This window comes from Homo sapiens, chromosome 17 (assembly GCF_000001405.40).
Source record: "Homo sapiens chromosome 17, GRCh38.p14 Primary Assembly".
NCBI lineage: Eukaryota > Metazoa > Chordata > Mammalia > Primates > Hominidae > Homo > Homo sapiens.
Window position 1 is genome coordinate 75,132,872 of NC_000017.11, and position 25,265 is coordinate 75,158,136.

Here is a 25,265-nt window from a genome sequence, read left to right on the forward strand (position 1 = left end):
GCACATGCTTGTAATCCCAGCTACCCGGGAGGCTGAGGCAGGAGAATCTCTTGAATCCAGGAGGCAGAGGTTGCGGTGAGCCGAGATCATGCCATTGCCCTCCAGCCTGGGCAGCAAGAACAAAACTCCTTCTCAAAAAAAAAAAAAAAAAAAAAGAACATGCTGAACTGTGATACATTTTGTTGACTCTTCTTTTTGTGGATGTCATGAAACTTCCTGACTCCACTCAAATCTATTTGCCTACAAACTATAAAGCCAGGCGCCGTGGCTCAGGCTGGTAATCCCAGCACTTTGGGAGGCCCAGGTGGGAGACAGCTTGAGCCCAGGAGTTCAAGACCAGCCTGAGCAACACAGGGAGACCCTGTCTCTACAATAAACAAATCAATAAGCTGGGTATGGTGGCGCATGCCTGTGGTCCTAGCTACTCATGAGCCTTAGGTGGGAGGAACCCTTGAGCCCAGGAAATTGAGGCTACACAGCCTTCATCCTGCCACTGCACTCCAGCCTGGGTGACAGAGGGAGTCCCTGTTGGGGGAGGGGAGAGCCAAAATTATAAACACAGATTTAAGTGGCCCATCTCGCCATTGTTCCCCATCTGATGAACCCACTGCTTCCAAATATATGTAACAGAGGCTGGGCACGGTAGCTCACGCCTGTAATCCCAGCACTTTGGGAGGCTGAGGCGGGCGGATCATGAGGTCAGGAGATCAGGACCATCCTGGCTAACACGGTGAAACCCTGTCTCTACTAAAAATACAAAAAAAAAAAAAAAATTAGCTGGGCATGGTGGCGGGTGACTGTAGTCCCAGCTACTCAGGAGGCTGAGGTAGGAGAATGGCATGAACCCGGGAGGCAGAGATTACAGTGAGCCAAGACCACGCCACTGCACTCCAGCCTGGGCCACAGCGAGACTCCGTCTCAAACAAACAAACAAACAAAACATGTAATAGAAGCATCACACACACAAAAAAACCTGACAGGGCCGGGTGCAGTGGCTCACGCCTGTAATCCCAGCATTTTGGGAGGCCGAGGCAGGTGGATCACAAAGTCAGGAGTTCGAGACCAGCCTGACCAACATGGTGAAACCCCATCTCTACTAAAAATACAAAAACTAGCCGGGCATGGTGGGACATGCCTACAAATCCCAGCTACTCAGGAGGCCAAGGCAGGAGAATTGCTTGAACCCGGGAGACAGACGTTGCAGTGAGCCAAGATCATGCCACTGCAGTCCAGCCTGGGTGACAGAGCCAGACTCCATCTCAGAAAAAAAAAAAGCCTGACAAACCAGTCTAAGAGGGGCTCAAGTCAACATGCATATGACTCATAGATACGCAGACATTTTGGAGGCCCAGACTTGCGAGTTATCTCAAGGGGAAGCAGTCTTGGGGGCTGAGCCCTCAACTTGTGGAATCAAAGCTATCTCCAGGTAACTGATTGTCAGAATTGAATTGGAGGGCCAGGTGAGGTGGCTCATGCCTATAATCCCAGCACTTTGGGAAGTCGAGGTGGGCAGATTACTTGAGGTCAGGAGTTCGACACCAGCCTGGGCAACATGGCATAAACCCTGTCTCTACTAAAAATACAAAAATTAGCTGGGTGTGGTGGCACATGCCTGTAGTCCCAGCTACTCGGGAGGGTGAGGCAGGAGAATCGCTGGAACCCAGAAGGCAGAGGTTGCAGTGAGCAGATTGTGCCACTGCACTTCAGCCTGGGCGACAGACTGAGACACTGTCTTAAAAAAAAAAAAAAATTGGAGGACACCTAGCTGGTATCCACTGCAGAATTGCTTGCTTGCTTGCTTGCTGGTGGGGAGAAATCCCCGCATATTTAAAGTTGGAGAACTTTTTTTGAGACAGGGTCTTGCTGTCACCCAGGCTGGAGTACAGTGGTGCGATCATGGCTCACTGCAGCCTTGATCTCACAGGGTGAAGCAATCCTCCTGCCTCAGCCTCCCGACTACAGGCGTGTGCCATCACACCTGGCTATTTTTGGTAGAGACGAGGTTTCACCATGTTGCCCAGTCTTGGAGAACACTTTAAAATGTTACTGCCCAGAACAAAGGGGAGGTAGAAGAGTCTAACCTGCTCATCTTTAGAGCCTTCTTCAGAAAGAAACCCACTCCTCTCTGGGTCTTCATCTGTTTTAAGATTTTGTTTTTTAAGGAGGTCTCGCTATGTTGCCCAGGATAGTCTCAAACTCCTGGGCTCAAGCATCCTCTTGCCTTGGCTTCCCAAGTAGCTAATTACAGGCACATCTGGCTATTTAACTTCAAATGACTCCTCCAATCAGTAGGCAGGATTTATAGTGACAAAGAGAAAAGCATCTAACCAGGGAGAACACTGAAACCATCTCAAAAAGAAGACACAGTACACAGTGTTTCAAAATGTGGATATTGTTTACTTGAAGCAACAGTCCAGGATTGTGAAGTACAACACATTTTAAGGATGAGACTTTCCTTTCATGGTCAAGCACCAGCATCATGCACACAGCATCAGGTTATTTAAAACAACACGCCTGTGGGACCCCGTTCCTGGAGGAAGACCCGCTTCAGTGTGATTGCCTCCCTTGCTTCACTGCTTTTAGTTCCAGGCAGTTTCATTGTACATCCAAGCCTTCCTCTGCGTGAGAGCAAAGGCTTTGCTCATCAGCCAGCCAGTCTTGTTACTATCTGGCTACTTTTTAAGGTTAAAAAATAAAAGGCAGTTTCTTTGCTTTGCAGGCGGCAAGGCAGGAGGCGCAGGCCTCTTCATTGTTCACATGTCACAGGAGGAGGCTCTGAGCAAAGGCCACTGGCAAGTTAGGGCAACACCAAGAAGGCTCTGCGGAGAGACTCCCTGTGGGTTGGGGCCTGGCAGGAACGGTGCCTGTGGACTGTTTATGGTCTGTCCAGTTGAGGCTTGGTAAACCCAAGTAAAGTGTTAAAAACCTCAGTACAAAAGATCCTCTAACACATCTGGAACCAAATTATTTCTTCTTAAAAACACAGTACTAAGTGTCACAAAGCTTTCCCTCCAATCTACTACTAGAAAACACTCATGCCATGGCCCACAGACCCAAGAGTCAAGGACAGAGAGAAACCTGTTCTTCAAAAGAAAAAAAAAAAAGACAGCAGTACATAAAGTGCTTCTTTTTAATGAAACAAATCCAAGAGATGTACAGTCAGGCTCAAGTTGTGCAGTTCACAAGCATGGAGGAAACAGACAGAACGACAGCGTTCAGGACAGTCAGAGCTAACCCAAGACGAGGCTGGACTTGCCGCCAGGGGGATTTCTTCTGGATGGCACTGGGGCCGGGGCCACCGGGCTGGGCACAGGCGCAGCAGGCACGGGCTTCTCTTCACTCTGCCCCAGGCTGCCTGGCAAGTCTGTGTCCACATTTTCTATGAAAACAGGGAATAGAAATAATACTCATAATGACAGCCATTTCCTGTTAAGATCAAGGATCTGTTTCTCTTTTTCTTTTTTTTTTGGTTTGATGGTTGGAAACATACCTAAAAGCATAAACAAAATAATCACCCACCATGCTCCCACTCCACAGAATTAACCATTGTTCATCTTTTCCCATATTTGTTGTTTATGTTCTTTTCTAAATTACACAAATATATAAGGACATGAAGTTTTTTTTTGTTTTGTTTTGTTTTTTGACGGAGTCTCGCTGTTGCCCAGGCTGGAGTGCAATGGTGCAGTCTTGGCTCACTGCAACCTCCACTTCCCAGGTTCAAGCAATTCTCCTGCCTCAGCCTCTCTAGTAGCTGGGATTACAGGCGCCTGCCGCCATGCCCGGCTAATTCTTGTATTTTTAGTACAGATGGGGTTTCACCATCCTGGCCAAGCTGGTCTTGAATTCATGACCTTGTGATCCACCTGCCTCGGCCTCCCAAAGTGCTGGGATTACAGGCGTGAGCCACCGCGCCTGGCCCAAGGACATGAAGATTTTTAAATAAGAACAGGGAACTCTAGCTCTACGGCCCCTTCCAGCTCCGGGTGGATCCTGCTCCCCCTATTCCCAGAGGTCCCACTGCAAGTCCTGTGCAGCCTTCTAGTCCACTTGTTTTATGTATATTTACATGTAGCCAGATAACATGTAACATGTTTTGGTTATATTTAACATAAATGGTATCAACTTCTTTTTTTCACTCTTGGAAATGTATCCATATTTACAAACAGGGTAGTAATTCGCCTTGCTTATTAACTGTATGTTTTCAAATCCCTCACCTCACTGTCAAGCTTCATTGCTTTATAGTAATTATCACATGATATAGGCTATTTATCCAATTCTCTGACAGCAAAAAAACTGGAACCCATCCAATTTTCCAAATGAATTGTCTCTCATTAGGGTTGTTTCTAAACCGGGAAAAAACTGATTCAAAGTGCAAAGTGAATGCAAAAATTCTATATTTTCTATGAAAGGAAACTTTTACTAAGAGCTTAATAGTATACATATTTTTAGTTTTTTTGTTTGTTTGTTTTTTGTGGAGGGGTGGGGTGGCAGGTGGAGGATATTGAGACAGGGTCTCACTCTGTGGCCCAGGCTGGAGTGCAGTACCTCAATCACAGCCCACTGTAGCCTCAAACTCCTGGGCTCAAGCAATCCTCCTATATCAGTCTCCCAAATAGCTGGGACTACAGGCGCGCACCACCACAACTGGCTATTTTTGTTTTTTTTTTTTTTTTATTTTTAAAAGATGGGGTCTCCTTATGTTACCCAGGCTGGTCTCAAATTCCTGGACTCAAGTGATCCTCCCATCTCACCCTCCCTAAGTGCTGGGATCACAGGCATGAGCCACCTTCACCCTTCACACAGCCTAGTTTTCCTTTTTTTTTTTTTTTTTTTTTTTTTTTGAGACAGGGTCTTTAACCTCTGCCTCCTGGGTTCAAGCAATTCTCCTGCCTCAGCCTCCCGAGTAGCTGGAATTACAGGCATGCACCACCATGCCTGATTAATTTTTGTATTTTTAGTAGAGACGGGGTTTCGCCATGTTGGCCAGGCTGGTCTCAAACTCCTGGCCTCAAGTGAGCCACCTACCTTGGCCTCCCAAAGTGCTGGGATTACAGGCATTAAGCCACTGCACCCGGCCTAGTTTTCCTTTTTTTTCTTTAGTTGAGATGGAGTTTCACACATGTTGTCCAGGCTAGAGTGCAACAGTGCAATTTCGGCTCACTGCAACCTGTGCCTCCCGGGTTCAAGCAATTCTCCTGCCTCAGCATCCCAAGTAAGTAGCTGGGATTATAGGTGCCCGCTACAACGCCCGACTAATTTTTTGTATTTTTAGTAGAGACAGGGTTTCACCATGTTGGCCTGGCTGGTCTTAAACTCCTGACCTCAGGTGATCCAACCTGCCTTGGCCTCCCAAGGTGCTGGGATTACAGGCGTGAGCCTCCATACTGGGCCTTAGTTTTCTTTTTAATAGCAAGTTTATTTCAGTGTTAACCAATCAAATTCAGTTGCATATTCTAAGATATTCGTAAAAATATTTCATAGAATCCCTTTTGCCTGAAAAGGCAGTAAGGGCAGTTAATAATGCTCCTATATTAATGGATTTTTTTTTTTTTTTTGAGACTGTGTCTCATTCCATCGCCCAGACTGGAGTAAAGTAGCGTGATCCTGGCCCACCACAACCTCCGCCTCCCAGGCTCAAGCGATTCTCCTGCCTCAGCCTCCCAATAGCTGGGGTTATAGGCGCCCGCCACCATGCCCAGCTAATTTTTTGTATTTTTGTAGAGACCAGGTTTCACCATGTTGGCCAGGCTTGTCTCAACCTCCTGACCGCAAGTGATCCACCCACCTCAGCTGCCCAAAGTACTCAGATTACAGGCGTGAGCCACCATGCCCGGCCAAGAAGAGGTCTTTAACACTTACTCTCAATTCATGTACTTATCTCATGATAGGCTAGAAGCAAACAAACCTCCCTCTTCTGTGGCTGCAGTATTTCTCATTGGACAGACATTTATTTTATTTATTTATTTTTCATGCTTTGTTAATGTTAACATACTACTGCTGCTTTTAACATTTCATGAATTTCTGGAACATTCTATGGGAGTAACATAAAATGTTCTATACTATTTAACTACAAGCAAAAATAGAGTATGAAGCTTTTCAGAATGACAACTGTCACAATTATGAACTAAAACTCAGAGAGGGTCACCCATTAGTTTCCTTGGTTACATCCATTGTAAAAGAAGCAAGATCAAATGCACTGGATCAGACACACAAGTCCTACAATAAGTGTCCCTGAAATAACCTAAATATAATTGTAAATATAAAAGAAAAACAAAACTCCACATTTAAAATATTCAAGATAAAGAGAATTCGGACTGAGACAACTTGTTAGTTCAAGCAGTTTCATTTCTGCTGGTGGGACATGGCCTCCTGCTATACATACAGGATCTACTGAAGTCTTCATTCTCTCTCTGAATCCAGCAGTTAATGAACATTCTGAAGAACAAAAAATTATCTTGCAGTCCTGCCATAGTGGTTTATTTTCATAAAATCCTCTTCAGATGAATCAAGCTCAATACTACTAATCTTATATTTGTCTTACATTATTACTAGAACTGTTTTGTTTTTCACAAATACATAACATACTAATAAAGAAGAAGAAAAAAATAAAAAAGCACCTATGGAGACTAAACAAGCAGCAGTAGGCCTTACTTTAAATGTCTGTCCAGGCCAGGTGCAGTGGCTCACACCTGTAATCCCAGCACTTTGGGAGGCCAAGGCAGCTGAATAACCTGAGGTCAGGAGTTTGAGACCAGCTTGGCCAACATGGTGAAACCCCGTGTCTACAAAAGTACAAAAATTAGCTGGGCGTGTGTGCGCGCCTGTATTCACAGATACTCGGGAGGCTGAGGCAAGAGAATCACTTGAACCCGGGAGGCGGAGTTTGAAGTGAGCCAAGATCGTGCCACAGCACTCCAGCCTGGGCGACAGAGTAAGACTCCGTCTCAAAAATAAATAAATGTCTGTCCAGTCAGAAGTACTCCACCCACAGAGGAGGGAGGTTTGTTTGTTTCCAGCCCATAATGAGATAAGTACAGGAATTGAGAGTAAGTGTTCAGAAACTTTGATTTATTTTTTCAGATGGAGTCTCTCTCTCTTGCCAGGCTGGAGTGCAGTGGCGCAATCTATCTCCACCTCCCAGGTTCAAGCGATTCTCCTGCCTCAGCCTCCCAAGTAGCTGGGATTACAGGCGCGTGCCACCACGCCTGGCTAATTTTTGTATTTTTAGTAGAGACGGGCTTTCACCATGTTGGCCAGGATGGTCTTGATCTCTTGACCTCATGATCCGCACACCTCAGCCTCCCGAAGGGCTGGGATTACAGGCATGAGCCACCGCGCCCAGCCAAATGTTTAGAAACTTTTATGCCAATTTGACACAGAAAGCTTTTGTCTGCTGAAGATAATTTAAAAAAAAAAAGGGCTTTAAATGAAATTATTTCTACCAAAATATACATTTTAGACACTCCTGGTCTCTTTTCTTTGGCACATCAATAAGATAACTGAACAAAGACATCTCTATCTGAATAGAAAATGATTCATTGTAAGCATCAAAGAATCAGAACTGGAAGAAATGTAGCCGACCATCTAACTTGCCCGCAGTCAGGGAGACTTCTCTGCCTGAACTTCCTGGACCTTCTCCCTCTTAGATTTCTCAAGATGGAAACTCCAAAGTCATTCCTGTAGCCATTCCTGCGTTTAATTGCCCAAGAGGTAAAATAAATTTCCCGTATATCCAAAGGGAATCTATCTTATTTAAACTGAATTGGGGTTGACCTTTAATCCTCCAGATGTATCTTATTACTGTACCTCAGCCAGGCACAGCGGCTCACACCTGTAATCCCAGAATTTTGGGAGGCCAAGGCAGGAAGATCAACATGAACCCAGGACCAGCCGGGGGAAACATAGCAAAACCCTGTCTCTACAGAAACTACAAAAATTGGCCAAGCACGGTGGCTCACGCCTGTAATCCCGACACTTTGGGAGGCCAAGGCAGGTGGATCACGAGGTAAGGAGTTCGAGACCGGCCTGGGCAAGATGGTGAAATCCTGTCTCTACTGAAAACACAAAAATTAGCTGGACACAGTGGCGGGCACCTGTAATCCCAGCTACTCGGGAGGCTGAGGCAGGAGAATTGCTTGAATCAAAGAGGTGGAGGCTGCAGTGAGCCAAGATCATGCCACTGCATTTCTAGCCTGGGCAACAGAGCAAGACTCCATCTCAAAAACAAAACAAAAACAAAACCACAAAAATTAGCCAGGCATGGTGGCATGCAACTGTAGTCCCAACTACTCAGGAAGCTGAGGTGAGAGGATGGCTTGAACCCGGAAGTCAAGGCTGCAGTGAGTGGTGATTGTGCCACTGCACTCGTGGTTCAGGCAACAGTGAGAACCTGTCTCAGTAAAGAAAAAAATATTATTGTGCCCCTTTTCATTTTAAGACAGATGAACTAAAGTTGCAGCAGTCAGCCACACAGAATATATCAGATCAGAAACTTAAAAAGGCCGGGCACAATAGCTTACACCTGTAATCCCAGCACTTTGGGAGGCCAAGGCAGGGGGATCACCTGAGGTCAGGAGTTTGAGACCAGCCTGGCCAACATGGTGAAATACTGTCTCTACTAAAAATACAAAAATTAGCTAGGCATGGTGGTGCATGCCTGTAGTCCCAGCTACTCGGGAGGCTGAGGCAGGAGAATCACTTGAACCCGGGAGGCGGAGGTTGCAGTGAGCCGAGATTATGCCACTGCACTCCAGCCTGGCGACAGAGTGAGACTCTCAAAAAAAACAAAAAGGAAAAAACAACAACAGGTAACCAGATAACCACTGGGGGGAAAAAGAAAGGACTTAGGAGTTTGCGACCAGCCTGGCCAACATGGCGAAAACTCCGTGTCTGCTAAAAATAAAAAAAATTAGTTGAGCGAGGCTGGGCGCAGTGGCTCATGCCTCCCAGCGCTTTGGGAGGCCAAGGTGGGTAGATCGCTTGAGGTCAGGAGTTCGAGACCAGCCTGGTGAATATGGTGAAACTCCGTCTCTACTAAAAGTAAAAAAAATAGCCAGCTGTAGTGGCGCACACCTGTAGTCCCAGATACTCAGGAGGCTAAGGCGGGAGAATCGCTTGAACCTGGGAGGCGGAGGTTGCCTTGAGCTGAGATCATACCACTGCACTCCAGCCTGGGTGACAGAGCAAGGCTCTGTCTCGAAAAAACAAAAACTGTGAAGGGGACTGAAAAGGGAACAGAATTATTAATTATGTGGTAGGACTATTGACACATTGTTGACATACTTCTCCAAGTTCCCCTAACTTCTAGTTGTATTAACTGACCAAAATAATTGAATAAAGATTAGCTGATTCTTGTTAAATAAGGTCTGACAGTGAAAGTATTCAGAATATAGAAAGCAGTAGAACCGGCCGGGCCTGGTGGCTCACGCCTGTAATCCTAGCATTTTGGGAGGCCAAGGCAGGTGGATCACCTGAGGTCAGGAGTTCAAGACCAGTCTGGCCAACATGTTGAAACTCTGTCTCTACTAATAAAAAAAAAATTAGCCGGGCGTGGTGGCAGCCCTTGTAATCCCAGCTACGCAGGGAGGCTGAGGCAGGAGAATCACTTGAAACCGGTAGGTGGAGTTGCAGTGAGCCGTGATCGTGCCACTACACTCCAGCCTGGACAACAAGAGCTAAACTCCGTCAAGGGGGGAGGGGAGGGGAGAGGGAGGGAGAGGGAGGGAGGGAGGGGAAGGGGGAGAGAGGAGGGGAGGGAGGGGAGGGAGGGGAGGGGGGGATGGAGGGAAGGGGGAGGAAGGGAACGGGAAGGGATGAGAAGGGAGGGGAGGGGAAGGGAGAGGAGGGAAGAAGGAAGGAAGCAAGAAGTGGAATCAAAAAACCTAGATTTTACCTCCAGAAGTCTTTCCAGAACAGTACAAATAGAACACAAACAGTAATTAATACATACATCTTCGGTCCAATGCAAAAGTAACTGGTCCTGTGATATTATGATATACATACGTATATGAAAATACACACACACACACACAAAATCTGTTTTTGTCCACAGCTACTGGCTGGTAACTCCCATAGCCCTTAAAAGTCTTTTGAATGGGGTGCATTAAGCCTCAGGAGCAGCCCTCAGGAAACAGAATCTCTTTGTGACCTCCTGTCCTCCTTTTACCTGCCCAGGGCAGGACTGTAATCTGATGGCAGGTCAAAAGACCCTTAATCCAGAGGGTCCTGCTCCATACCCTGGAGGAGGGAATGCTACATGGAGAGGCCAAGAAGAATCTAACAGACGGGCCTTCTGAGTTCCCTTGTTCAGTCCATTGGTATGAAATCAAACCTTTTTTGTCTAATCGTATTTCTGTACAGTTGTCAATCATGCTTATGTAATGAAGCCTCCATAAAAAACCAAAAGGGGCCAGGTGTAGCGGCTCATGCCTGTAATCCCAGCACTTTGGAAAGCCAAAGCAGGTGGATTACTGGAGGTCAGGAGTTCAGTATCAGCCCGGCCAACATGGTGAAACCTCGTCTCTACTAAAAATACAAAATTAGCCAGGTATAGTAGCGTGCACCTGTAATCTCAGCTACTCAGGAGGCTGAGGCAGGAGAATTGCTTGAACCCAGGAGGCAGAGGTTGCAGTGAGCCAAGATCATGCCATTGCACTCCAGCCTGGGCAAAAAGTGTGAAACTTGGCCAGGCATGGTGGCTTACACCCATAATCTTAGCACTTTGGGAGGCTGAGGAGGGTGGATCACCTGAGGTCAGGAGATCAAGACCAGCCTGGCCAACATGGCGAAACCCTGTCTCCACTAAAAATTAAAAAATTACCTGGGCATGGTGGTGCATGCCTGTAATCTCAGCTACTCAGGAGGCTGAGGAAGGAGAATCGCTTGAACCTGGGAGGCAGAGGATGCAGTGAGCTGAGATGGCACCACTGCACTCCAGCCTGGGTGACAGAGAGTGAGACTCCATCTCAGAAAAAAAAAAGAGCGAATCTCCATCTCGAGAAAAAAAAGAAAAACCCAAAAGGGGCTGGGCACAGTGGCTCACTTTGGGAGGCAAAGGTAGGAAGACTGCTTGAGTCCAGGAGGTTGAGGCTATAGTGAGCAATGAGATTGTGCCACTGCACTCTAGCCTGGTTAAGACCAAAACCCAGTCTTAAAAAAACACCCAGAAGGATGGATTCTGAGGACTTCTGGATAACTGAACATGTGGAAGCTGACAGGAAGGTGCAACAACTCATCCATGTGCCAGGAGGGTGGCACACCCCAACTCCAAGGTACAGGAGCTCCTGTACTTGGGACCTTTCCATACCAGGCCCCAAGTATCTCCTCACTGGGCTGTTTATTTGTATCCTTTCAAATATCCTTCGTAACAACCCAGGTACAGTGGCTCATGCCTGTAATCTCAATACTTTTGGAGGCTGAGGTGGGAGGATCACATGACTGGCCTGTGTAACATAACATAGTGAGACCACATCTCTACAAAAAAAGAAAAAAAATTAGCCAGGCATGGTGGCATACACCTGTATCCCAGCTACTCAGGAGGCTGAGGCAGGAGGATTGCTTCAGCTCAGGAGTTTGAAGTTGCAGTGAGCTGTGAGGGTGACACTGCACTCCAGTCTGGACAACAGAGCAAGATTCAGTTTAGAAAAAAATAAAAAAAAATGTATCATATATTCATAATGAACCTGTAAACATAAGTGTTTCCCTGAGTTCTTTCTGTGAACCTCTCTAGCAAATTAATCAAAACCATAGAAGGGGTCACAGGAACCCCAATTTGAAGCCAGTCGGTCAGAAGTTCCAGAGGCCCAGACTTACAACTGGTGGGAAGGAAGGGGCAGTCTTGTGGGACTGACCCTCAACCTGCTGAATCTGAGGTTATCTTCAGGCAGAGGGTGTGGAAACTGGATTGGAGGACTCCCAACTGGTGTCCACTGATTGGCGTGTGGGGAGAAACCCCCCATATTTGGTCACAGGTGTCGTCTTCTGTGTTGATGATTGTTGTGGTGTGAAAAAAAGAGGAAAAACACGTTTGAGTGTTTTCCCCCTAAACAGGTCCTATAAGGAAGAACCCAGGCAATGCTCCCAAAGGCTCAGGAGCTTCTCCTCTAAGCCCACCAAGAAACACTGTGAGGCCGGGCGCAGTGGCTCATGCCGGGCATGGTGCCGCGTGCCTGTAATCCCAGCTATTCAGGAGGCTGAGCCAGGAGAAGTGCTTGAACCCGGGAGGCAGAGGTTGAAGTGAGCTGAGATCCTGCCACTGCACTCCAGCCTGGATGACAGAGCCAGACTCCATCTCAAAAAAAAAAAAAAAAAAAAAACACAACCAAAAAAACAGAACACTGTGTGAGAAGGCAGGAGAGGAATCTGCTTCTTCAACCTTTCCGTGTGTCCTTGTAAGCACACCACAAAACATAAGGGTAGGAAAAGGCCTTAAGAGGAAGCTGCTGCTTCTGTCTAGACCAGAGGGCCTTGTGACTGCTGCACTTCACTGACTGCTACTGCCTGACACTTACAAACCTTGCACTCATCGGCAAGTCTTTAGCACTTGTTACAGAAATGCCAATAAATACCTCCAAGATTTAAGATAATTAAGTCAATGATTACAGCTCATTTCCACCTATAATTCGTAATATGGTTGGTTAGCTGAAAATTTACATCTGCCCCCTAAATCATCATTTACAAAATCACCAAGCAGGTAACCAATGTCTTGCTGAATAAGCATCTCCCTATAAAAACAAATGAACTTTGTAAAGTGGATGCTGTGAGCTGAGCTTGAAATGGTTATATTAAAAAGCTCTCTCTGGCTGGTAGTGAGTTATCTTGTTCATAGTTACAGATCAACCTCCTTGTTTTACTCTTTCCCCTCTTCTCAATACTGCACTTGGCTAGTCTGTGATAAATAGCTACATAAATACAAAAAGCTCTCAGCTGGGTGCTGGGGCTCTTGCCAGTAATAGCAGCACTTGGGGAGGCTGAGGTGGGAGGATCACTTAAGCTCAGGGGTTCGAGACCAGCCTGGGCAACATAGTGAGACCTCATCTCTACTAAAAATAAAAACAAATTAGCGAGGTGTGGTGTTGTACCCCTGTAGTCCCAGTTACTAGGGAGGCTGAGGTGGGAGGATCACCTAAGCCCAAGGAGGTTGAGGCCACAGTAAGCTGTGATTGCCTACTGCACTCCAGCCTTGGCAACAGAGAGACACCTGGTCTCAAAAAAAAAAGCTCTCATTAAGTGTAACAAATACTGACCTGATTAATATGTATGTGTGTGTGTTTAGATATATTTTGGTTTAGTTTATTTTTTTCAGGCAAGGTCTCACTCTGTCACCCAGACTGGAGTATAACGGTGTGATCTCTGCTCACTGCAACCTCCACGTCCTGAGCTCAAGCAATCCTCCCACCTGAGCCTCCCGAGTAGCTGGACTACAGGCATGTGCCGCCATGCTAGGCTAATTTTTGTACTTTTTTATAGAGACAGGGTTTCACCATGTTTCCAGGCTGGTCTTGAACTCCTGGGCTCAAGCAATCTGCCTGCCTCAGCCTCCCAAAGTGTTGAGATTACAGGCGTGAGCCACCATGCCCAGCCAATATATGTAATTTTAAAGGATTCTCTGTTTTTTCCCTTCTATTATGTTTCTAGCATTGATCGCGTTACTGGCAGATTAGAGTATGGCGGCACTTGGGGCATGGCCAGGTTTCACTCCCCAGTCTCTTTCCCCAAGACATGATTTAAATCAAGATTCAGATCTGTCCTAAAACCATGGACAGAGCCAGAAATTTGGTCTTCAGAAGTACTTACCATGAATATCACCTTCTCCCTAGAAAAGAAAAAAATTCAAAAATTTACTTCCTATTTTAATTTTGGAACACGCAAAACAGTCATAGTTCATAGCAGCTAACATCTACTTGAAACCGAATGTGACATTTCATTGTGTTGCAATCAAGCACAGGGTCAGTCTGCTACCTCTATCCAACTCAGGACAATGCTATGCAAAAATTCTGCATGATAAATTGCTCTAGTGCTAGTACCACGTCTACAACAAACCCCAACATTTCCTCTGAGGACCTAACACCAATTAGCACTTCAGAGATCTTTTATTAGAATGGAAAACTGGTAAATCTCTCCTTTCATTTCTCTCTCCTTTCCCCGATAAGGGGAAACTAGATAATAGTTATGGAAGGACCCCTATCAGTTCCAAAGCCCTTCTCCAGTTCTCTCCCCACTCAGACAGGTGATGCCTCACTGTGCTCTGAGGGCTTTAGTGCTTAGTCGGGCGGGGTCTTTCCACTTCGCAGCACACCCCCTGGGGGGCTTGGTGGCAGTATTCAACTGCAGACACAACCAATGGTAATGCCAGCACTAGTCTCCTGGAGTTCAACGCAAAGCAGTTCTGAACTCAGAAATGCTTCTATATATGAGACACACAGGAAGTGAGAAAGATCCACAAGTTCCAAAAATCAATAGGGGAGATAAAACAAATCCTAATGGTAAAAGAGATACAGAAACAGACTGAGACCATGTTAACACACTTCTATGATTTTACTATCAATCTTCCATTATCAATATGGCCCAGTCCCTTTCCTAACTACCTCAATGTAAAATTCCAGTGGGTGAACTGAAACTCTTAGTACAAATTTCAGAATCATATTGACCTGAAAGCCTTTCTGGCCTCATGCTGTCACACTGACCTTCAGATCTAAGAAGTCTCCGGAGCTTGCTTCAGAGGAGTTCCTTCTCTGCAGTCCAGATGACTCCAAGTCTTCCCTGCCACCACTAGACTTGGCACCTAAAAATCAAAATATACTTTCTTCAGAAATACAATAGAAAAAACCTAAAGCAAAACACTTCAGGCTGGGCACGGTGGCTCATGCCTGTAATCTCAGTGCTTTAGGAGGCCGAGGCGGGCAGATCACCTGAGGTCAGGAGTTCAAGACCAGCCTGGCCAACATGGTAAAACCCTGTCTCTACTAAAAATATAAAAATTGGCTGGACGTCATGGTGCATGCTTGTAATCCTAGCTACTCGGGAGGCTGAGGCAGAAGAATCACTTGAACTCGGGAGGTGGAGGTTGTGGTGTGCCAAGATGGCACCACTGCACTCTGTACTCCAGCCTGGGCAACAGAATGAGACTCTTATCTCAAAAACAAAAACAAAAAACTTCAGCAATTGACGTTATGTGTTAGTCTCACATTATGAAATGAGGAAACAGTCTTAAGGAAGTTAAGCTGATCACTTAAACATTAACCCAGTCTGACTTCAGTCCTTACTCTGATCCATCACACAGCCTCTCAGTATTTCCCATTTCTTTCCTCTCAGGCTAAGTCTAAACTGTTGTAAGCTAGATTTTGTTATTAGTTCAAAACCAGCTGTAGTTGGTTTTTCTTTTGTTTGTTTTTGACACAGGGTTTCACTCTGTCACCTAGGCTGGAGGGCAGTGGCTCAATCACAGCTCACTGCAGCCTCCACCTCCCAGGCTCAGCAATCCTCCCACCTCGGCCTCCGGAGTATCAGGGACTAAATGCACACTGCCACTACCACCAGCTAATTTTTGTTTTGTTTTGTTTTTTAGACACGGGGGCACATGCTGGTGCCCAAGCTGCATCTGTGGCTGTTGATGCTGGGCCCATCCCTTTGAACAGTGAGCACAGATAACAAGAGTACCTGCTGACTTGGCCCAAGAAGCTTGATTTTCTTCAGGTGTCCCAAAGATATTAGAGGCCATTTTGTTCTTCCTCACAGGTTGTTCTGTTGGTTCATCAAAACCTAATGAAAAATTGGATCCACCACCTGGAGGCCGCAAAACTCTGCAAATAATGGCAAAACATCAACTTCAGATCATACTGAAACATTTCTTGGCATAAATCTTTTCAGACAACTTTCATTTCACTTTCCTCACCCATTCATCTCCCTCACCCCTACAACAGATAGCTGCTAACAGGAAAAAAGAATCAACTCCATCAGTGTCTACATTCAGTGCTGGATGTTAAGATACTAAATACTGCTTTATAATACTTGTAATAAGGTCATCGATCACACAAGGCAGCTGAAACAGCATGGAACTCATCATAAATAACAGCCTGGTTGGTGTCCCCTTTTCAGAAATGGCAAAAGATCTAATGGACCTTACTCTACTGGGCTTGGCTGAATATACTTTCAAAGAAGTTTAGAAGTATTTCTTGTTATTATTCATTTAAAAATCATTTCCAGGCACAGTGGCACACACCTGTAATCCCAGCACCCTAGGAGGCCAAGGCAGGATCATCACTTGAGCCTAGGAGTTCAAGACCAGCCTGGGCAACATGGCAAGACCCCGTGTCTCTATAAAAAAAAAATTAAAAATTAGCCAAGCGTAGTGGCGCATGCCTGTGGTCCCAGCTACACTGGACTCTGAGACAGAAGGATCGTTTCGGCCGGGAGGTCAAGGCTGCAGTGAGCTGTGTTCACACCGCTGAACTCCAGCCTGTGTGACAGAGCAAGACTCTGTCTCAAAATGTAAAAAGTAAATAAATTTTTTTTTTGAGACGGAGTCTCCCTCTGTCGCCCAGGCTGGAGTGCAGTGGCGCGATCTCAGCTCACTGCAAGCTCCACCTCCCGGGTTCACGCCATTCACCTGCCTCAGCCTCCCGGATAGCTGGGACTACAGGCGCCCGCCACCACGCCCAGCTAATTTTTTGTATTTTTAGTAGAGACGGGGTTTCACCGTGTTAGCCAGGATGCTCTTGATCTCCTGACCTCATGATCCACTCACCTCGGCCTCCCAAAGTGCTAGGATTACAGGCATGAGCCACCACGCCCAGCCAAAAAAAGTAAATAAATTTTAAAAAATCACTTCCTTCTTATTTTCAACTAGATAAATAACTTGGGCACGATCAGTAGCAGGCCCCTATAGTCCCAGCCATTCTGGAAGCTGAGGCAGGAGGATTGCTTGAGCCCAGGAGTTCAAGGCCAGCCTAGGCAACATAGTGAGATCCCCATCTCTAATCACTTACACACTTACACACACACACACACACACACTTAAGTCAGCTTGACCAATTTAGAAGCCCAAGAAGAGCTGATAATAGTCTCTTCTATCTCAACCTCACTAAAAAGCCATTTACATACTTGTACCTCACTATTCTCACAATAAACATAAGTAACTACCCATGAGGGCAAAGTCAGTATGAGCAATTAAGTATAAGATTCCATGACATGGTCTATATCAGTGTTCCTTTGAATATCATCTGTAGCTTTCTGTTCAACATGGTAATATATTTTTTAACATTTCCAAATCTTTCTGCCATAGGTTGACCAATTTGTCTCCTCCTTGGAAAAACTCAATTTAACTCCTCTTGCCACCTCTCAAAACAGAAAATGCAGGTGGTTTTATAGAAATACTTTTTTTTCTTTTCTTTTTTTTTTTTGAGGCACAATCTCGCTCTTGTCGCCCAGGCTAGAGTGCAGTGGTGCAATCTCGGCTCACTGCAACCTCCGCCTCCCGGGTTCAAGCGATTCTCCTGCCTCAGCCCCTGAGTAGCTGGGATTACAGGTGCCCACCACCACAAACAGCTAATTTTTGTATTTTCAGTAGAGACGGGGTTTCGCCATGTTGGCCAGGCTGGTCTCGAACTCCTGACCTCAGGTGATCCACCCGCCTGGCCTCCCAAAGTGCTGGGATTACAGGCGTGAGCCACTGCACCTGGCCTAATTGTTGTATTTTTAGTAAAGACAGGGTTTCACCATGTTGGTCAGGCTGGTCTTGAACTCCTGACCTCAGGTGATCCGCCTGCCTCAGCCTCCCAAAGTGCTGGGATTACAGGCATGAGCTACCCAGCCCAGCCAACTTTTTTTTTAACTTCTTTTTTTTGTTTTCTTACTGCCTGTGTAATTGCAGAATATGGAAAGACTTTCTAACTACTGATTCAATTCCTTTACTGGTGATATGAGTGGTCTGGTTTTGTTTCTTCATAAGGCAGTTTGAATAAGCAACATTTTTCTTTCTTTTTTTTTTTTTTTTTTTTTTTTGAGACAGAATCCTGCTCTGTTGCCCAGGCTGGACTGCAATGGTGCGATCTCGGCTCACTGCAAGCTCCGCCTCCCAGGTTTACACCTTTCTCCTGCCTTAGCCTCTCGAGAAGCTGGGACTACAGGCGCCCGCCGGAACGCCCGGCTAACTCTTTTATTTTTAGTAGAGACGGGGTTTCACCGTGTTAGCCAGGATGGTCTCCATCTCCTGACCTCATGATCTGCCCGCCTCGGCCTCCCAAAGTGCTGGGATTACAGGCGTGAGCCACCGCGCCCGGCCAAGAAACATTTTTCTAAGAATATTTAGCACTTCTATCTGGGCGTGGTGATGTGAACCTGTAATCCCAGCTACTCCGGAGGCTGAGGTAGGAGAATCGCTTGAACCCTGTAGGAGGCGGAGCCTACAGTAAGCTAAGATCACACCACTGCACTCTAGCCTGGGCAAAAGAGTGAGACTCCGTCTCAAAATAATAATGATAATAATAATAATAATAATAAAATTAAGGTCAGGAGCGGTGGCTCATGCCTGTAATCCTAGCACTTTGAGAAGCCAAGGCAGGCAGATCACAAGGTCAAGAGATCAAGACCATCCTGGCCAACATGGTGAAACTGTCTGTACTACAAATGTACAAAAATTAGCTGGGCGTGGTGGCACATGCCTGTAGTCCCGACTATTCAGGAGGCTGAGGCAGAGGCAGAAGAATCGCTTGAACCCGGGAGGCAGAGGTTGCAGTGAGCCAGAGATCATGCCACTGCACTCCAGCCTGGCAACACAGTGAGACTGTCTCAAAAAAATAAATTAATTAAAAAAAATAAGGCAGGGCGCAGTGGCTCACGCCTGTAATCCCAGCACTTTGGGAGGCCGAGGCGGGCGGATCACCTGAGGTCAGGAGTTCGAGACCAGCTGGACCAACATAGAGAAAACCCGTCTCTACTAAAAATATAAAATTAGCCAGGCGTTTTGGCACATGCCTGTAATCTCGGCTAGTCGGGAGGCTGAGGCAGGAGAATCGCTTGAACCTGGAAAGCAGAGGTTGCGGTGAGCAGAGATTGTGCCACTGCACTCCAGCTCGGGCAAAAAGAGCAAAACTGCGTCTCAAAAAAAAAAAAAAAATCAAGAAAAAGACACTAGTACCCGAACACCAGCTTAAGAGCAAGTCAAAACTCTAACCAGTCCCACTTTTTAAAGGTCTCTGTTCCTCCTGCAATAGCAGGTAGTAACCAACTCGGATGACGTCAGTGTTGTAGAGACCATTTGTAATAGTGAGATATCCCCAAACAAAGGATGTAGATCATAAGGCAGAAAGTATCTCAATGTTTTAGGATCCTACTATTCTTTCAGAATCATACACGACAACTAAATCAGGATTATATATTTAAGACTGAACAAAAATGTGTCCATGTACTGTAAATAGCAATTTTTAAAAAATTGCTCCTTTTCTTTCTTCTCTCTTAAAATCCTGAAGTTTCTGTATATCTTTGCAGATCATTCCCTACCAGACTAAATTTATAACGAGTTTATGGGGCCAGGAGAACATTACTGGACAAAATTAAGTTTATGAGAATTAGGTGAGAATATAGAAAAAGGGAAGGTAGAGAGACAATAAAATGACAATGCTACTACAGTCCCTAGAGCATAATATTGGAGGGAAATTGATGACGAAAGGTGAATTAAACATTCATTTCACAGGATCAGAACTCATTTGTCTCACATTTCAAATGTACACATGAAAAACTAAGTGTGAGGATTCATTTGACCTAATTACTGAAATTCTTTACAAAACACTAATATCAACTCAACCCCAAAGAATAAAACCCCAGATTACACATTATCATTCCGACGACTGAAGTCTAACCGGCAGAAAGTTGGCCTCGTAACACAAAATGAAAAACCAAGGCTCAATCTCTTCCTGTTCTCTGAAGAAATCATCTCATTGGAAAGAAAACAGAAAGGGAGCGACCAGTTTCCTAGGTCTGTGCTACTTAAGTACCCCATCCTCCCAGTAATCACCAATTTATTTTTTTAATCTTACCTAGTCTTTTTGACCTTGTAAACCTGAAAGTATTGAGTTGTAAAGGAATGTCATTTCCCATGCTTTCCTCCTAAGGCTCAATTGCTGAGTGAGGCGTGCTTTTTGTTCCCAAGTTCTCTAACCCCTGTGAGATATGGCTATTTCACGTGTCTTCTTAGCCCCACAAAATGGCTCCCTTTGTGCCACTTGGCCAGGACCCCGAGGGTAGCCACACATGAATGCAGGTCATAATCGATGTAAAATACATGCTCAAAAAAGTGATTTAAGCTTCTTCCAAGCCTTGAAGAGGATCCCAGACATAACTGTAACCCACCTTAAAGAACAGTGTGCAATTAGCTGAGACAATGTGGACACCTTCCACAGAATCCAAACCCTTCCACCAAGTAAGTTAAGCAAGGACTTGGAAAAGGGTTCCTGTCCAAACACTGTACCCAGTGCCCCAAGCCCAAAAAGCAGTGGGAAGAAGGGCAAGAAAAATCCCCCGCTTCCCAGGTAGCGCTACCACGTTAGAGACAATGGATGTCTCCGGCCCCGCCCAAGAACAAGAAACCTCCTCCTGCAAGGGAACCAGGGCCAGGGATGAACTCACTGGGCAAACGTCAAAGGAGGAAGCGAAGGTAGGATGCAAAGGCCACGGTCCGAAGGTTTAAGCGCAGAAAACCCACTCGGGTTGGCTCGTTCCCCGCGCCCGCCCCCGCCCCCCGCCTTAGAAATGAGCGCAGGGATGGGGAGAAGGGGTCTTTCCTTTGTTAGGAAGGGGAGACACTTGGAAGAGGGGAGGCACTTCGAAGAGGGGAAGAACGATTGGGTCCTCAATGGGGGGTGAAGGGTCGCGATGACCAGCCCCGCTCGACCACACATGCACCTGTCAGGTAGGTCCGAATAAGGAGTGGGGGCACGGCGAGGGTAAGGAGCCCGCCGGACCTGATCGATCCGGTCTCCGGATCCAATGGCTGCGCGCGAGAGCGAGACCAACCGCATGCCACGGGGGAGAGACAGGAGCGCGTGGCCCATCAATGGGACAATAGGACCTGACCATGCATGGGGCCCTAAAGGATCCCCGGGCACCTGGGGGGCCAAGCCCACCACCCTGGGGATGCACCAGCCGGGATGCACACAGGAGAAAGCGAAGCCCTCCCCGAAGGTTCCGATTAACGAAAACCGGCCGTGCTCCGAGGGGCGACCAGCCCCGGCCTCCTCAGCCCCTGACTCCGTGGAAGGAATGAATGGAGAGCAGCAGGGACCCGGGTGGGGCCGGCGCGCAGGGCTCGCCAGGCGGCACAAAGGCGGCGCCGACGGCAGAACCCCGCCACCCGCCCCGGCGCGAGCACAGCGCACGGGGCTCGTTACCCGCAACGACCGGCGCGAGGCCCCGCCGGCAGCGGCCCTCCCAGCCCCTCAGCCCCGCGCGGCTCGGGCGCGACCCGGTCGCCTCACCGGGAGCTATTCCTGCTGTTGGGGTCGACTCCCTTGAAGGTGGTGGTTGTGGTCATGGCGCCGAGGAGCGAGGTAGGCTGGCGCCGGAGCAGAACGCTCAAAGGGTCGGACCCGAGGGGCGCTGGGAAACTCCACACCCAACAGCCGACCACCGCTGCAGGAGCCGCCGCTGCCGCCTGTCCGGCCGATCGACGCCTTTATAGGGTTTTCAACCCCCGCCCCCTAACCCGCCGGCATTGGCCGATTCAAATGAATTCTTTCATTCCTATTGGCTCTCTGGAGTGCCAAGCACCATGCGGCATTACGATGGGCTGTGGCGGCCACGGCTCAGCCTAAGCCCGCCCCCTTCCTGGACTGGGAAGGCCTTGGGACTCTCTCCCCTCCCCCACCCCAAAATCTCGGCGATGATTGGACGGAAGGCGAATCTACCTCGCGCTGGGTGGAAGTCGTGCTGGCTGTCACTGTAAAACGTTACCTGACAGAGGGGGAAGCTCTTTCTTGGGGAGTTACAACCTCGGCAAGCAGAAGGGAGATTTGTCACTGTTACTGTTCTCTCATTTGCTTTACTGATGGTGGGATAGTAAGGGCATCCTCCTTAAAGGATGAAAAGTACTGCAACAAGTTGACATTTATCTGTTGAATACCTACTGTGTGTCCCATTTAGAAACCTAATAGTCTCAAAGCAGCCGCACAATGAGTCAGCAACAGAGAGCGCACCAAGATGATCCCTTTTAAAAGGACTGGAAATTCCTTACATTTTAATGTTACTGTTTAGTTGTAATGGGTGGTGCATGTACTGGACCAAAATTACAGTCGCTCCTATTTGGGGGCCTATTCTAAGGCTGGTTAATGCCTGGCACCAGGAATGGACTCATTCCCTGCTACCAAGACTATGGAAGCAGCTCAGGCCTCTGCAGCTGTTTATAACCCTTAAGTCATGACTCTTCCACCTGTCTGGGTAAATCTATCCATGCGACAAATGCAGACACACTTGGAGGATTCAGGAATGATGGTTTACAAGATCATAATAGGAAAGCCTTGGGCAAAAGAGGGCAGGCCCTTCTCATGTCTTGCATATTTCCTCAAGGCAGATGTCTTTGCTTGTCTCAATATTTCCATAATAATTGAACCACATTCCTCTTTGCAAAGCCACCTTTCAGGTAGTTGGAAGTTTGTATTCTGGGCAGTCTAGGTTAACCACCCTCCCCCCCCGGGCTTTCATGAAAAGCCAGTGAGAAGTTCTGTTCTAGAAAGCACGGATGATGCATTTATGTGCTTACCACAACAGCACGAAGCGCACCACTTGTTTGTGTTAGAATCTTCCCTTCTTTTTTTCCTTTCTTTTTTTTTTTTGTTTTTGAAGTGGAGTTTCGCTCTTGTCACCCAGGCTAGAGTGCAATGGCGCTCAATGCAACCTCCACCTCCCAGGTTCAAGCGATTCTCCTGCCTCAGCCTCCGTAATAGCTGGAACTACAGGCGTGCGCCACCACCCCTGACTAATTTTTGTATTTTTAGTAGAGACGGCGTTTCACCATATTGGCCAGGCTGGTCTCAAACTCCTGACCTCAGGTGATCCATGCTCCTTGGCCTCCCAAAGTGCTGGGATTACAGGTGTAAGCCACCGCATCTAGCCAAAATCTTAGCTTTTTTTTTTTTTTTTTGAGACAGAGTCTTGCTCTGTCGCCCAGGCTGGAGTGCAGTGGTGGCGCGATCTCTGCTCACTTGCAGCCTCCACCTCCCGGGTTCAAGCGATTCTCCTGCCTCAGCCTCCCGAGTAGCTAGGACTACAGGTGCGTGCCATCATGCCCGGCTAATTTTTTGTAGTTTATTAGTAGAGATGGAGTTTCACCATGTTAGCCAGCATGGTCTCAATCTCCTGACCTCGTGATCCACCCACCTTGGCTTCCCAAAGTGCTGGGATTACAGGTGTGAACCACCGCACGCCCAGCCAATCTTCCCATTCTTTCTTTTTTTGTTGTTGTTGTTTTCGTTTTTTTGAGACAGAGTCTCGCTCTGTCGCCCAGGCTGGAGTGCGGTGGCATAATCTCGGTTCACTGCAAGCTCCGCCTCCCGGGTTCACGCCATTCTCCTGCCTCAGCCTCCCAAGTAGCTGGGACTACAGGCGCCCACCACCATGCCTGGCTAATTTTTGTATTTTTAGTAGAGATGGGGTTTCACCGTGTTAGCCAGGATGGTCTAGATCTCCTGACCTCGTGATCCGCCCACCTCGGCCTACCAAAGTGCTGGGATTACAGCATGAGCCACCGCACCTGGCCAATCTTCCCATTCTTTTTTTTTTTTTTTTTTTTTTTTTTTGAGATAGAGTCTCGCTCTGTCGCCCAGGCTGGAGTGCAGTGGCACAATCTCGGCTCACTGCAAGCTCCACCTCCCACGTTCATGCCATTCCCATGCCTCAGCCTCCTGAGTAGCTGGGACTACAGGCGCCTGCCACCACGCCCGGCTAATTTTTTTGTATTTTTTTTAGTAGAGACGGGGTTTCACCATGTTAGCCAGGATGGTCTCGATCTCCTGACCTCGTGATCCGCCCACCTCGGCCTCCCAAAGTGCTAGGATTACAGGCGTGAGCCACTGCGCCCGGCCCAATCTTCCCACTCTTAAAGGCTGAGCCTATATTTCCAAAATCTTAAAAGAAAAAAAAATCAGACCAATCTAGCCAGTGAGCACGCCCTCCTCAGAAACCATATAATTATCAACTAGGAGGTAGTGGAGTATAGTGGTTGCTAGCTCAGACTCTCATGGGATAAATTTGGATTGGAATCTCGACCCTTACCTTTTCTAAGCACTAGTTTTCACCTTTCTGAAATAAACACACAATAGTACCTGGGGGTCTGTGGAGTTTTGGGGACTAAGTGACCTCATGGATGTAAACGGCTTGGCTCAATATACAAGTCATCAAAGTGATAGTCCATTTTATTATCAGACTTATTTAGAAAGCAATCACATACTTGTATGTTAAATGAGGGGTTTGGACTTGACTCGCATGGTCTTTTGGCTTACATTTTCAGGTTGTACTTATTTCCTTGCAGTCTAATAGAAGATAGCTTGGTGAGGCAATGCTACAATAGACTAGAAGTCAAAAGACCTAAGTTCTGGTTTTGCCTTTTCCCAATATAAGACACTGGTACATCATTTATGCCCTTGAGCCTCAATTTTCTTATCTATAAAATGGGATTGCAGGCTGGCACGGTGGCTCACGCCTGTAATCCCAGCACTTTGGGAGGCAGAGGTGGGCGGATCAGAAGGTCAGGAGTTTGACACCAGCCTCACTAACATGGGGAAACCCCATCTCTACCAAAAATATAAAAATTAGCTGGGCGTGGTGATACGCCTGTAACCCAGCTACTCACAAGGCTGAGGCAGGAGAATCGCTTGAACCCAGAAGGCAGAGGTTGCAGTAAACCAAGATCGCGCCATTGCACTCCAGCCTGGACAAAACGAGTGAAACTGCTTCTCAAAAAAACAAAAAAGGGATTAATAGCACTTGTGTTACTGGAAAGGTGTCCCAGTCCAGACCCCAAGAGAGGTTTCTTGGATATTATGAAGAAGAGTTCAGAGCAAGTCCATAAAGTGAAAGCAAGTTTATTAAGAAAGTAAAAAACACGCTGGGCGCGGTGGCTCCGGCCTGTAATCCCAGCGCTTTGGGAGGCCGAGGTGGGTGGATCACGAGGTCAGGAGATCGAGACCATCCTGGCTAACATGGTGAAACTCCATCTCTACTAAAAATACAAAAAATCAGTCGGGCGTGGTGGTGGGCGCCTGTAGTCCCAGCTACTC

At 47.0% G+C, this 25,265-nt stretch overlaps 1 protein-coding gene and 1 long non-coding RNA gene across 9 annotated transcripts, besides 3 other annotated features; one reads left to right on the forward strand and one right to left on the reverse strand.

The window, feature by feature from the left end:
• Positions 1–2,371: 2,371 nt before the first annotated feature.
• On the reverse strand, positions 2,372–21,641 carry JPT1 (Jupiter microtubule associated homolog 1). 8 transcript variants are annotated; one of them, NM_001002033.3, is made up of 6 exons: positions 21,471–21,641; positions 16,220–16,314; positions 15,658–15,800; positions 14,685–14,782; positions 13,795–13,813; positions 2,377–3,379 (listed from the first exon to the last, which is right to left on the reverse strand). In NM_001002033.3, the coding sequence occupies exons 3-6, from the start codon at positions 15,716–15,718 to the stop codon at positions 3,231–3,233; spliced, it is 327 nt and encodes a 108-aa protein (NP_001002033.1). In that variant the 5' UTR covers positions 15,719–15,800; positions 16,220–16,314; positions 21,471–21,641; the 3' UTR covers positions 2,377–3,230. The 8 variants fall into 8 exon arrangements, 7 of the variants coding, with proteins under 7 accessions (NP_001275538.1, XP_024306547.1, NP_001275539.1 ...); NM_001288609.1 differs by lacking the exons at positions 16,220–16,314; positions 21,471–21,641 and adding an exon at positions 20,347–21,372 and having other exon boundaries at positions 2,372–3,379; XM_024450779.2 differs by lacking the exons at positions 16,220–16,314; positions 21,471–21,641 and adding an exon at positions 20,899–21,003 and having other exon boundaries at positions 2,372–3,379.
• LOC107985034 (uncharacterized) lies at positions 3,379–16,162 on the forward strand. The gene is made up of 2 exons (XR_007065907.1): positions 3,379–8,005; positions 15,566–16,162. It is a non-coding gene; the product is annotated as an uncharacterized LOC107985034 (long non-coding RNA).
• Positions 14,672–15,871: an enhancer, noted in NCBI's record as "CDK7 strongly-dependent group 2 enhancer chr17:73143638-73144837 (GRCh37/hg19 assembly coordinates)". NCBI's record gives its function as "activates an origin of replication core promoter dependent on BRD2, BRD4, P300/CBP, MED14 and CDK7 cofactors, with strong dependence on CDK7, by STARR-seq in HCT116 cells {active_cell/tissue: HCT116}" and the evidence as "EXISTENCE:reporter gene assay evidence [ECO:0000049][PMID:35650434]".
• Positions 21,237–21,476: a silencer, noted in NCBI's record as "silent region_8957". NCBI's record gives its function as "represses an Ori minimal core promoter by ATAC-STARR-seq in GM12878 lymphoblastoid cells {active_cell/tissue: GM12878}" and the evidence as "EXISTENCE:reporter gene assay evidence [ECO:0000049][PMID:35858748]".
• Positions 22,129–22,724: an enhancer, noted in NCBI's record as "NANOG-H3K27ac-H3K4me1 hESC enhancer chr17:73151095-73151690 (GRCh37/hg19 assembly coordinates)". NCBI's record gives its function as "activates a minimal SCP1, AML or CMV promoter by ChIP-STARR-seq in naive H9 embryonic stem cells {active_cell/tissue: H9 hESC(naive)}" and the evidence as "EXISTENCE:reporter gene assay evidence [ECO:0000049][PMID:30033119]".